Below are 14,115 nucleotides of genomic sequence, written 5' to 3' on the forward strand. Positions count from 1 at the left end.
AGACACAGCGTGGTTCCATCACAACCCTCTACCCCTTTGAAGTCAACCCCTCTCTCCATCTCCTGTCCCTGGAAATGAACTGATTTACTTTCTCTTCCTATAATTTTGATGTTTTAAGAATGTCCTGTAAATGAAGTTATATAGTATGTAGCAAAGGCCCCTTTTAAACTTCATGCATTTGATAAAAAATAATTTACTTTTTATTTTTACTTACTGGTTTCTATTTCCTGAATTTAAAGGCAATAATGGATATAAAAATCAAATTACTCTTGAGTATTACATCTTGAAATAGGTAATTACCCAGAGGGCCTTTAGAACATATAGACCTTTAGGACTTCACTTCTGCAGTACTGAATCAGAATCTCTCAGTGTATGTTCTGAGAATTTAGTTTCTACTAAACTTTCTAAGCCTGATTCTGATTGACCCATTAGATTTGGGAAACATTAACCTGACAGGTATTCACTAGATGAGATCAACAAGCAGATTTTAAATGACGTGTGGTTATGGAATCAAAGTTCAGAGGTTGGGAGAGTCTTATCTAAGTGACCTTGTCCTTGGTGGCTACCACTTGCTGGTTGCAGGGCCTCAAACAAGTTACTTAAACTTGATGAACCTTGGCTTTCTCCTTTATAACATGGGGGGAATGCCTACTTCAAAAGATTGTTTGGGGGATTAAATGCTTATAAATCATTTAGCATACTACATGGAACACATAACAGTCAAATAATGGAGGTTGCTCATATTTTAGTATCAATATCTTCATCATTGTCATCATCATCATACTGCCCTGAGTGCTTTACGATTCTTTCTCCATGTCTGCATTTTGGTTAATTTCACTATTTTTTAACCCTTCCTCTAGAGGCAACCAAAGAGAATTTTTGTAGCAACACAGCTATTATTCAAGGCAGTAAAAAGCTAAGAGAAATTCACTGATTGCTTGCAATCTTCACTTCTACCCTGTTATAGCCTCAAAGATGCCAATGAGAACAAGAAGTGAATTACTGGAAACTCTCTCAGTCTTTTTTCCAAGCGGATGTTATTGGCCAATTATGGACAAACAAGAGGGAGGAAGAGAAACAAAGAGCAAAAATAAAGTAAAAAATTAGGCTGTCTGTACAGCTAAGATACATCTAAAATTTTACTTTTTTTATTGGAAGATTTAGTCAAATATGTGATGTGAAAAGAAACTGAAACTGTTGGCTTAATGAAAACAGGTTTGCTCCAGTACTATTCCATATTAACTTACCTAAATAACTTGGATTCAAAGTTCAGGAGTCAGCAGAGTATCTTAAGATTTATTTCAAAACATTACAAGGTGGCCGGGCACAGTGGTTCGCACCTGTAATGCTAGCACTTTGGGAGGCCAAGACGGGCAGATCACTTGAGGTCAGGAGTTCGAAACCAGCCTGGCCAACATGGTGAAACCCAGTCTCTACTAAAAATACAAAAATTAGCCAGGTGTGGTGGCATGCCCTGGTAATCCCAGCTACTCAGGTGGCTGAGGCAGGAGAATCGTTTGAACCTGGGAGGCAGAGGCTGCAGTGAGCCAAGATTGCAGTGCTTCACTCTAGCCTGGGTGACAGAGCGAGACTCCACGTTAAAAAACAAGACAAACAAACAAACAAAAATTTACAAGGTTCAGGGAAAAGAGGAAGCTAAAGGCAACATTTTAATCCTATTACAAGTACTAAAAGTTGGCCCTAAAAACTGATTGCAAGCTAGATGTATATGCATTTATTTATTTATTTATTTATTTTTATTTTATTTTTTTGAGGCAGAGTCTCGCTCTGTCACCCAGGCTGGAGTGCAGTGGCACAATCTCGGCTCACTGCAAGCTCCACCTCCCAGGTTCACTCCATTCTCCTGCCTCAGCCTCCCAAGTAGCTGGGACCACAGGCACCCGCCACCATGCCCGGCTAATTTTTTTTTGTATTTTGTAGTAGAGACGGCATTTCACCATGTTAGCCAGGATGGTCTCGATCTCCTGATCTCATGATTCGCCCGCCTCAGCCTCCCAAAGTGCTGGGATTACAGGCTGAGCCACCGCGCCTGGCCGTATATGCATTTATTTTTAAGATATAGTTTTAATTTAAGCCCTGAAATACAGAAGAGTCACGATATTTGGTTGTGCTTGCTAATATAAAGAACTACTACTATCTTCTAAGAATTATGCAATGCTGCTAACACCAAGGACAAAAGAACATCAAAAGACCCATGAACCCCACAAGCCCTACCTGTTCTCAGCATCAGCACTGCACTTTGGGGACATCAATTCAAAGGATTTGGTAAATTTCACCACCTGTCGCATAGAAAGATAATAAATCCAGGTCAATTAAAGCTTTATTGCCGTTTAAAATAATGTAATAAACATTTTCATCTTTATAATGATTATAATACTTGGAGATTATAGAGAGATTTTTAAGTGGAGAAATCCCAAGACAGAGTAGAAGAGGAGAATCCCATCCTACATCTTGTATCTTATTTCTTACAAAGCATACATTGTCAAAGTTTTAATACATTTCACTAAACATGTACATATTTTTACAATTAGGTGTACAATGAGCTATGGAGGTCAGGTAAAGGAAAATCTCATTTGAATACTTAAAAAGAAAACTGTTCTTTTAACAACCCAATCAACAGCAATAAGAGACCCAGGTAGGGACAGAACACCCCTCAAAGAAGATGCCCTCTGTCAACCCCAGGCTCCTGAAGTTAGTTCATCTTTAAGCTTGGCTCATCATTGTTCTCAGGTGAGCTTCGTGGTACCACCACCTAAAGGGTAAAGAGGAAGCCACCTTATTCAACAATCATTCTTGTGTGGACACTTCCTCTCTCACCTCTCCAGTGAAAGTAGCATACCAGTGCGAGAGTTGACCAAGGCTTATGTTGAGGGGGAATTTATGGAACAGAAAATGTCAATGTAGTTTTTCTTATTATTAGCTAATATTGAGTTTACACTGTAAACCAGGCCCTACAGCAGAAGCTTTTTTGATTATTTCTTTATTATAAATCTAAAGTAGAGAATTTTATACTCAGTCTATAGATGAGGAAACTAACCCCTAATTTTTAAAAAGACTTACTCAGTTTCACACAATTAAATAAGGCAACTGGCATGAAAGGAATTCTCTCTGATGCTAGAGTGCTAGCTCTTTCAACACTACAAATGTTGAGTGAGAAATGCACTATTTCTGGCCCTTGTAGGGGTGGACGGAAACCTTTCCTTCTACCCTCTGAAGGTTTGCTGAAATAAACTGACAATAGACAGATTAACAGGAGAACAAGCATACAAATTTACTAATGTGCAGAAGCACAGAAGCCATATAAAGTATGAGACTCAAAGGAGGGCCAGATGGTTGAAGCTTAAATAGCATCCTCTTTATAGGGGAGACGGACGGGGGATGTAGGCAATTTTGAGGGGTAGAAAAAAATTTCAGAGGAATTAAATGAGCCCAAAGAACAGACAATGACCAGGGACAAAGTTTCTCTGAGCTCTGGAGGAGGTGGCAGCAAGTTAGGGGTGGAACTTCACTGCAAACAAAGGTTATCTTTTTTTTTTTTTGGACAGGTTCTCACTCTGTCGCACAGGCTGGAGTGCAGTGGCCCAATCTCGGCTCATTGCAGCCTCCGCCTCCCGGGTTCAAGTAATTCTCCCACCTCAGCCTCCCAAGTCGCTGGGATTACAGGGGCGTGTCATCATGCCCAGCTAATTTTTGCATTTTTAGTAGAGACAGGGTTTCACCATGTTGACCAGGGTAGTCTTGAATTCCTCACCCCAGATGAGGCACAAGCCTTGGCTTCCCAAAGTGCTGAGATTACAGGCACGAGCCACCGCATCTGGCCAAAGGTTATCTTATTATGCAGATAAAGTCTCCCGGGTAATCTCTCAGAGTGCCCTCAGAAGAACAGATGGAAAGTCTGTCTGGGCATGGGGACATTCCTCAGTCTTCCTTTCTGTGATATGCGAATAATATTCTCTGGTTAATAAAATTTCAGGGAGGGGATGGAAGAGAGTTCCATCTTGTACTTGTGAGGAGGAACAAGAAAAGGTTAGAAAGTTCTTGGCTCTGAGGGGACTCAGTTCCAAGGCCTTTTAATTTCCTTTAGATCAACGTGCTCAGTATGCCAAGGCACCATGCTTTGAAGTCTCCTTTTCTGAGCCCCAATACCCTCTTTTGACAAGATATACCACATGATAGAAAAACAAGCCCCTATAGTGAAAGGAGTCCATCTGAATGTCATAGAATGCTTCCAAGGTTGACATTTAGATTTTCCTTAGCCGTACGCAGTCATGCTTCAAAGGCCTTTTAAATTAACCACTTACAAGGAATTGATGAGCACCTGAGAAAATGATTTGGAAAATAGGAATAGATTAAATATTTAAAAAAGCTTTATCAGTGAGGTAATGAACTCAAGCTAGGCAAATGCAACATTAGGGAAAAAATAGAAAAGAAGGGCTCATCACAAAGAAAATTCTGTGTGACCAGATGAATGTAGGGCAATGACAATAGCTCAACTGCAAGGAAATACCCTTGACAACTATAGAACATATTTCATTTCATATTGTAATATGAATTAAGCCTCTACAGAATCACTCATTGTGGCAAATTTTATTTTCCAAAGATGGTCACAACAATATCTTCTATCCCATATTCTTCTCTTCCATGTAACCCTGCCACTTTCCTACCAAGTGGTAGGATCTACGTCCTCTCTCCTTAAATCCGGTGGGCTTCTGAAAGCTTCAACAAATAGAGCATATGGAAGACATGCTACATGCCTTCCAAGGTTGTTGTAAAATGCAACACAGCTTCTGCCTTGCCTGATGAAATATGTGTGCTTGGAGCCCTCGGTCACCATGCAAGAAGTGCAACTACCCTCAGGCCACTATGCTGAAAGGGAGCCAAACCACATAGAGAGGACATTTTCCTGCAAATGAGGGATTTTTCACACATTATAAACAATCCTTTATGCATGTATCAATGCTTACAACATCCCAGAAGGTAGATTTTATCCTCATTTTATTGACAGCAAATTAAGGCTTAGGGGGTTAAGTGGTTTGCTGGAAGCCATGCAAGCAGGAAATTGCAGAACCGAGATTTGAACCATGTTGTTCTGATTCCACAGCTCCAGTGATCCCACTTCTCACTGCTTTAATAAGCAAGAGCAAGTGTTATTGCAGCAGCAAATTATTTGGACATGACTCCTTCAAAACCAGAATAAACTCTACTTTATTTACTAATTCTACAAATATTTATTGAGTACCTCCTATATGCCCAAATTTGAGTAAACACAGACTAAAAAGTAACTTGAAGTAAAACACTTGGCTTGGTATAAGATTAATCATATTATCAATAAACTGTTAATTGTTTCTGCATTTCAAAATTGAGCAGGACATTTTTTTAATTCCTGATCTGATAAATGAGATTAAATTCTCCAATATTAATAAGAATGCTTCATTTGGCCTACTTCTTACTATTGATTAGAATAATTTACAGCGTGGTAAGAGTAGATGTTAATTTCTGCAAATCTGATAGCAATACAAATAAATTTTATCCAAGTAAAGATGCAAATGATTTCTGTGCAGGAGAAAAGAAAAGCTCAATGGTTACAATTGTATTATCCTGACTGGTAGTAACCATTTTAAAAAGCTAATCTAGCAATCTTATGCTGGCATTCTTTCAGTGCCTATTTTAGAACCAACTTTGCCACTCTGCGGTTTCTCTTTTTGATGAGTTAAACAAATCTTTGATACATGCTTGCTTTAGATTTCTGCAAGAGTTAAGTTTTTAACTTTTTGAAAATTATCTTTCAATACAACAAATACGTACCGTCTTATGTGTCAGGCAGTGTAGTGTACAATGGAATTACAAATGTGAAAGTAAAAGAAAATAAAATCTCTGCAGTTATGGAGCTTGCTTTATGGTAGGGAGCTTAATTTGCCCTGGCTCCTCAAAACTAGTGCTCCCTGGAAAAAATAAGTGCACTTCTGGTTTCACATCTTAAGAAAACAAATGTGAGAAATGTCCAGAGAATGAAAGAAAATAAAGATCTTTTAAAAATATTTTTTCCATCTGAGGAATAGCAACTGAGGGATATAAGAAATGGAATAGGAAATAATAGCGTTTCAAAGCCATAGAACCTGTAGATCTACAGAGAATGGATAAGATATATACATCTCTTAATGAAATGACAGGATGTTTGAACTCTTGTAAAAGAAGTTGGAGAAACTACTAAAAGGAAAAAACACTTTTTTCTAAAATGTTAGAACATCTTACTCCAACATAAATTACAAGCTGAAAAGAAAAATAGGGACAAAACTTTTATTTGTTTTGTTTTCTAAATTCATTTTTAATGTATAAGGGGAAAGTCAAGGACTATGTATCATTCAACTTCAGCATTCCATAGAATGCATTAGCTGTGTCCTCCAGTAAAATGGCTTATGGTGCCATGATCAAAGTCAGACACTGTATTCATGAACCACGATTGACCTTGTATGTAGGAAAGAACTGAACCTTCCCTAAAGAGAGGTCTGGCCTTTGTCCTTGGCTCCTGAGAGATAATCTCTAAACCCTTGTAATGCCTGATTAATGTGCAAAGAGTAACAGTGTGATTTAGAATGGGGGCTTCAAGCCACACCAACAATATGATTTGGGTGGGAGCTTTGGGACACATGGTATCAGTTGACCACTGGAGGAAAGGAGTCAGAGGTCAGCCGCATGGGCAGGTCAACCCTATTTTTGTGATCAAGCCCCAATAAAGACTCTAGACACTAAGGCTCAGGCCCCGGTTGGCAAAATTTCATGCATCTTGTCACACATGATAGCCAGGAGACATTGACACTATCCATGACTCCATGAGCAGAGTCCACATGTGGAATTTTCCTAGACTCTGCCCCATGCTAATGTTAATCTGTATGATTTCCTGTAGTAAACTGTAACTGTGAGTGTAACAGCTTTCAATGAGTTCTTTGAGCCCTTCTAGCAAATTACTGAAACTTAGCATGGTCTTGGGAACTCCAAAACTCATAAATGGTGTCAGGAATGAGGAAAGTATTGTAGACTATGTTCCCTAACTTTACACTTATATCATAATTCTTAGGTTCCTGTGTCTTTAGAAGAAAAATGAAGATACTAATCTTCATTAGTGTCTTTAGAAGAAAAATGAAGATACTGATGTTTACTGATCTTTGGTTAAATATTGATTATCCAGTGTGTATAAAGTACTGGATAGCACAGGGAGATACCAAAGAAATAATAAATAAGGTCTCTAACCTTTTAAGACTTAACATTTGTGATGGTTAATTGGTATGTGTCAACTTGACTGGGCTAAGGGGTGCCCAGATAGCTGGCAAAACATTATTTTTGGGTGGTCTGTGAAGTGTTTCTGGAAGAGATTAGCATTCGAATCAATAAATTGAGTAAAGAAGATTGTCCTGAGCAATGTGGGTGGGCATTGTCCAATCCACTGAGGGCTCAGATAGAAAGGAAGAGGAAGGGCAAATGTGGTCTCTTTGTTTGAGCTAGGACATCCATTTTTCCCCTGTCCTCAGACACTGGGACTCCTGATTCTCTGGTCTTTGAACTCAGACTGAATTACATCACCAGCTTTCCTGGTTCTCTAGCTTGCAGACAGTAAACTGTGGGACTTCTTAGCTTCCATAATTATGTGAGCCAATTCCTAGAATAAATATCTTTATCTCTATCTATCTATCATCTATCTGTCTATCTATCTATCTATCTATCTATCTATCTATCTATCTATCTATCCATCTATCTATCTAGTCTCCTATTGGTTCTGTTTCTCAGGAGAACCACAACTACTGCAACATTTTAAAGAAGAAAAATTTAAAGTGCAAGGTGAGTTGACCTCTGAGGTTAGATTCACAGCCAAATTGACCCTGAGTCATCAGATTATTTGGCAAGGCAATATACATGTGGCATTAGTCCGTGATGAGGCAGCAAGATGAACAGTTGAGAAGTAACATAATTCTGGAGATGTAAATTCATCTGCCAGCCTCTCAGTCCTCAAAAGCAGGAGTGGGCAAAGGATGGCCCATGGGCCATATCTGGCCTACCACCTGTTTTTATTAATAAAGTTTCATTGTAACAAAGCCATACTTATTAATTTAAGTATTGTCTGTGCCTGCTTTCTACTATAACAGTAGAGTGAATAGTTGCAATTGAGATCGTGCAGGCCACAAAGCCTAAAATATTTAGTAGACAGACCTTTATTTTTAAAAGTTTGCCAACTTCTCTGGTGTAGAGCCATTTCTAGGCCAGATCAGTTATTTTTGCTAAATTGTTAATGGCTAATGATAGGTTAATGTATTAATATTCCCATGTAATATAGCTATATTCAGAAAGAGGATTCTTGGAGACATAATCTTTTAATTTGAAACAGTATTGCAATGATAGAAATTTTAGGCACCAGGGTAAGTGGTAAGAGATATACTCGAGGATATATCCCCAGTTGGCAGGGGACAGTTCCACTCCAATTAAGCCTGTTGTCCAGGGACAATTATTAATAGTGCCCACTTTCACGCTCACAAGTGTCTTTGAATAGCAAATTCTAGGCAGGCAGGCCATTGGCTGCTCCTCAAAGCATCAGACAACTTATATTTTTAAAAAGAATTGAAAATATAATGCATTCAAAGAGAAAATTGTTTATAGTCAGATACCTGGGTTAAAAAATAAAACAGCAAAAACGGCTTAAATATTTGGATATAATTTAACGGGATATATAGAATGACATTGCAGAAATTATGACCAATACCAAATAGGTGAAGGCATAAATAAAATAGAATAGAATTTATGCTTTATTCCTGACTTGGACCAATTATATAATTCTTAGTTTTATTAATTTTAAAAGTTTACTATCTAAATCCAACTTTGATTTTATTATACATTTACTAAATGAACATGGATTAAATAAATTAATATACACACACTAAGTAAAAAAGAGAATCTTATAAGGGAAATATCAGAAGTGGTTTCTAAATCAATGACACAAAACAACTGGTTTCAAGCTTCCTTTGCTGCTGATCAGCCCTGATTATTGCACCCTGGGGAAGGGAGTGTACCTGCCAAGTGAAGTAAACAAAACATCTCCCTGCTTGTTCTTTGGAAAAGCTCCATGGACAGAAGTCTTTTTGATTTGGATATTTATCAAGTGCTAGTTGGTCTGGCTTCTCTCTGTTCTTTTAACTTAAAAACAAGTTAAAAAAATAAAAACTATACTCAAATAGATATTCCGGGCACCAAAATAAAAATTATCTACTAAGTAATCATGATTTTTGTTTTCTAATTTTCTGAATCTCTATTTTTCTATAAGAGGACTACTCAAAATGGCAAAAGAATGAATTAAATAGGCCAAGTGTGGTGGCTCACACCTGTAATGCCAGCACTTTGGGAAGTCAAGGTGGGTAGATAACTGAGATCAGGAGTTCGAGACCAGCATGACCAACATGGTGAAACCCCGTCTCTATTAAAAATACAAAAATTAGCCACGCATGGTGGCATGCACCTGTAATCCCAGCTACTCAGCAGGCTGAGGCAGGAGAATCGTTTGAATCTGGGAAGTGGAGGCTGCAGTGAGCCGAGATGCACCACTGCACTCCAGCCTAAGTGACACAGCAAGACTCTGTCTCAAAAAAAAAAAAAAGAAAAAGAATGAATTAAACAATCATCTCTTACTATGCTTCTTAATAAATCTCTTACTTATGCCAATTTACTCTAATCATTTATTCATGCAGTCAGCATTTATCAAATACTTAGTGCACCAAGCACTGCTATAGGCTCTATAAACACCAAGGGGCACAAACCATATCCTATCCTTGAGAAACTCACAACACAGTACAGAGAAGCAAACAGTTCACAAATGTTTCACCACAATGTATGTCCAAAATGCTACCAGTGCACAGAGGAAGGTGTTAAGGAAGTCTTCATGTGAACTGTGTGACAAGCAGGAACGCTCTAGGCTGACAAGTGGGGGAAGTTTCCCAGGCTGAGGGAACAAATCAGTTCGTTCTGGGAGAAAATAGAGAACTCTCAAAAGAGTTTAACTGAACATAATTCAATAAAGGGGCAAGCTATAGAAGTGTGGGTAGGGTGAAAAGAAGCCCATAAGGAATGGTGAGGCACCCAGGCACTAGCAACTTTGGAAAGCAGTTAATACTCCTAGGTCTGAGGTTACACAAGAGGGAGGGAGGGGAGAAGGGAAGGGTGATTTTGAGATCCTGGAGGTGATTTTGATATCCATGTGAAGAGAAGCCATGGAAAGATCTAGCCACCACTAGAACTGGTAAACAAGGAATGAGGAAAATAACTACACCCAATGTCTTTCACTCCTCTGGCCCTTAAATCTTCTGCTCATACCTTCTATTTGTCAAACCCAACTGGCAGCCAGAGGACAAGAAAGCCCAAGTGGTGTGGTAAGCAAAGATCAGCCCTCAAGGGCACTGAGGTAAAGACAGAAAGACCAACCATAGGTAGTTGGGGAGTGGAGAGGTTCCAGAGAGTAGCCAGTAGAGTTGACAATGTTGAACTTTACCTGAGCTCTGTGCTCCCCCAAAATAGTAATGATAAAGAAATCTCCCTATCACTGTTCCAGAATTGGCTATCCTCAACAGACCACTCTGCCCTAGCACATTTCAAAATAAGACATTTCTCCATCCTTCCTCATGACTCCTGTAAGGCTCATGAATGATGTAGGTAACTCCCTTGTCTATACGTTTCTGTGAAACCCCATCTTTTTCTTTGAGATGTTCACCATTAATGAGCATTCTCCCTATTGCAATAGCCAGATGAAATGATCTTCATTGTCTGGTGCATTTTGTCTTTCACTGGGACTATTTGCACAAAGATATGCATCTTTTGTGTTAATAGGCTAGTACATGCTTAGGCTGACCATGGGGAGGTGGGGTAGAGGTGAAGTAAAGGATAGAGCAAGGCTGAGGACCAGAGAGGAGAACCGCAAGTTAAGTTAGAAGCAGAAGTGATGGGCCTTGAATGTTGGGTAGTGTGAGCATTATTATACAAGCAATAGACAACTACCAATGTTTTGAATCATAGGAGAGGCCAGTGCATGTTTAAAAAGAAGCAGTAATTGAAAAGAAGAGTGCCCTCTTTGCAAGCAAGAAATGAGTCAGGAGAAAAATGTCCTAGTGAGAGATCAGTAAAGACACAGTGAAGAAGGTGGTAGAAAGAGTGAGAAGGAAGGGCTAGAAATGATGTTTCAAGGTAGAAGCAACAGATCATAGACACAAGTGAATGTAGAATAGTGAGAACGACTTAGAAACTACTCTACAGTTTTTAGCTTGAGTTACTTACTAAATGGTGATGGTTCTATTGGCTAAATAGGAAATATCAGAGGTGGAGAAGATTTGGGATGGGATGTAATGGAGATGGACAGTGGGGTTAGGGGTTCAGTAGTTGAAGATTATATAAATATATATATGCATACATATGTTTATTTAACATATAAATGATTAATGATGTGAGTTGATTTACTATATTGATATACAGTTATTAATAAAATGAGTTAATATGTATGAACAAGTAATATGATACATTAATGATGTGAGTGTGTGTGTGTGTGTGTGTGTATATATAGTACTATATATGCACATTTTTTCAGTTAATATAATTGGCCCTCTTTATCCATGGGTTCTGCATCCACAACCAAATGCAGGTCGAAAATACAGCATTCAGGGCAATGTGAAACCTGCAGATACAGAAGGCTGACCTTTCATATCTGTGGGTTCTGCAGGGCTGACTGCAGGACTTGAGTGTGCATAGATTTTGGTATCCATGCGCTGTCCTGGAACCAATACCCAACAGATACTGAGGGATGACTGTGTATATAACAATAATAGTTTGGGTAATCATCAGAGGATTTTTTTTTAAATACTCTCCACTTTGCACACTAGAAAAACACTTGGAGCAAAAATCAAACTGAATTTAAGTGGGCTTCTTTATAGGGAGAAGGAAAATCAAAGAAGGAAAGGTAGGGAAATGGAAAGTAAGTGATATAGAAAGCAAAGGCTGAGGCAATTTTTGCAACTCACTTGAGAAGGAGGGCACTGAATTACGGACTGCCCCAGAACAATCGGAGGATGCTCGCCCCATCTCTTCCCCTTGAGTGTAGGATTCAGGAAGACTGTCTAGTTCATTGGCTTAACTGTATGTACATTTACATAAGGACCAAGGAGCTAAGGAGGATATAAGAAAACAAGTGTGCCTAGCTAGCTTATGCTTCACAGTTTTGTAAAGAAACTCCAGACACTAGCCAGGTATTTATAAGCTTAGTTAGAAAGTACTTCGTAGAGTTCTTAACAACGAAATAGCTGCCAGCCATCAAGATGATACATGAGAAGAGAACACTTGTAAAAACTAGGACTTGAGACAGTGCCTTAGGACATAAGATTAAAATGTCTACATTCACTTTCCTTGACTACACACAAAAATAAATAGAAATAATAGTAAATGCATGAGCTGGAAAGAACTAAGAGAAGTGATAGGAATTGCTTAGACAGGTTCATAGGATGGAATAACAGTAAGCAGGGAATATTCAGTTCAAGGAGCTAAATAGTTCCTAATGTTAACAGCAGCAGCCAGCTATGGAGCAATCTTTCCTTCTTCCCAGTCTAATGGAAAATGCCATTGACAAAATCACTTAAAATCAATGGACTGAAACACTTAAGAGAAGCAAAAGGGTGCAAAATATTAATTTTGTCAGGAGAAAGGGCTAGAACAGCATTCCTCATTTCTATTTTTGGCATCCATTCAGTAAACTGAACAGTTTACACCTGAGTGCCTAGCTTAAAGACCACAAATGCAGTTTCTAAACACAGAGTTAAGATCTTGGTGAATCAAAGCTTCTACAACCAGAATTAATTTTTTCTCCCTTATTCCCTTCAAATATAAAGGCCATAAAACATAAATTTGCAATAAGCAGTTTTTTTAAGTATTAGAATCACAAAATACAAATAGAACTTTTGTTTTCAGGAATTATTCTAATAAAATAGAAATAAAACTTACTTTTGGAGGGAGAAACTTTTATTTTCCTGAATGATACTGTTTTGTTTTCTAATTATAAAAGTAGTGTACAGAATGCCAGTAGAGATGGTGCTATAAGTTCATGCTTTTACACATCTGATCTTTTCCAAAAACAGAGCAAAGACTGATAAAACACAGAGGAAATCAGAAAGACATTTAGAGATTGAAAGGAAGAGAGAAGAAAAGGAGAGGGAAAGGGAGGAGAAGGGAAAGGAGGGAAAAGATCTCTAAAGTCACAAGCCTGAAGACATGTAGGCCTGCTGAACTCCAAGTCCAGAAACAGGCTGGCAGTGATGGTCGGAATTTCAGCTCCTGCTGGGGTGTGGGAAACAGGTGACCCAGCTTCACCCCAAGAAACTGAACCAAGCTGCCTCTAGCTTGGTGTAATATTACTACATAGCAGGAAATCTGAGCCACCAGAATAAGTCTTGGTTTTTGATTAGGGGTCAGGAAGCTGGGCAAACTATTAGACAGGTAGGAAAGAGGGCAAGAGAGAAAGAAAGAAAGCAATGGCATAAGCAAACAAAAACACTCTCCCATCCAAATCAGCTGCAATCCCAAATTCAAAAACACATAATTAATACAAACAACTAAATCAACAACCTACATAATTGGACAAAAAATACTGAAGAATCTGTTAAGCTAAAAATTTGAACACACCCATAATCAGAGATTGATAGATGAAGAATAGAAAAGTATTAAGAATATAGATGACTTGGACAACATTTCATTCTTGATTAACGGGGTCTTAGGAAACGTCGGCTGGACAAGCCGTTAAAAAAGAAAAAAAAAAAAGATTTTCCTCAGCTGGGTGCGGTGGCTCATGCTTGTAATCCCAACACTTTGGGAGGCCAAAGTGGAAGGATTGCTTGAGCACAGTGGTTTGAGACCAGCTTGGGCAACTAGTGGAACCTCATTTCCACAAAAATTAGCTGGATGTGGTGGTGTGCACCTGAAGTCCTAGCTACTTGAGAGGCTGAGGTGGGAGGATCACTTGAGCCTGGGACGTCAAGGCTGCAGTGAGCTGTGATGGTGCCACTGCACTCCAGCGTAGGTGACAGA

At 38.8% G+C, this 14,115-nt stretch overlaps 1 protein-coding gene across 4 annotated transcripts in view; it reads right to left on the bottom strand.

Moving 5' to 3' along the window:
• The window catches only part of PDE11A (phosphodiesterase 11A), a 485,096-nt gene that overhangs the window by 250,380 nt on the left and 220,601 nt on the right, over positions 1-14,115 (bottom strand). For all 4 annotated transcript variants that reach the window (NM_001077197.2, NM_016953.4, NM_001077358.2 and 1 more), the window contains one exon: positions 2,236-2,300. In NM_001077197.2, coding sequence (NP_001070665.1) covers positions 2,236-2,300 — 65 coding nt within the window. The remainder of the gene's footprint in view (positions 1-2,235; positions 2,301-14,115) is intronic.

The sequence above is a fragment of the Homo sapiens genome, chromosome 2, assembly GCF_000001405.40.
Source record: "Homo sapiens chromosome 2, GRCh38.p14 Primary Assembly".
Classification (NCBI taxonomy): domain Eukaryota; kingdom Metazoa; phylum Chordata; class Mammalia; order Primates; family Hominidae; genus Homo; species Homo sapiens.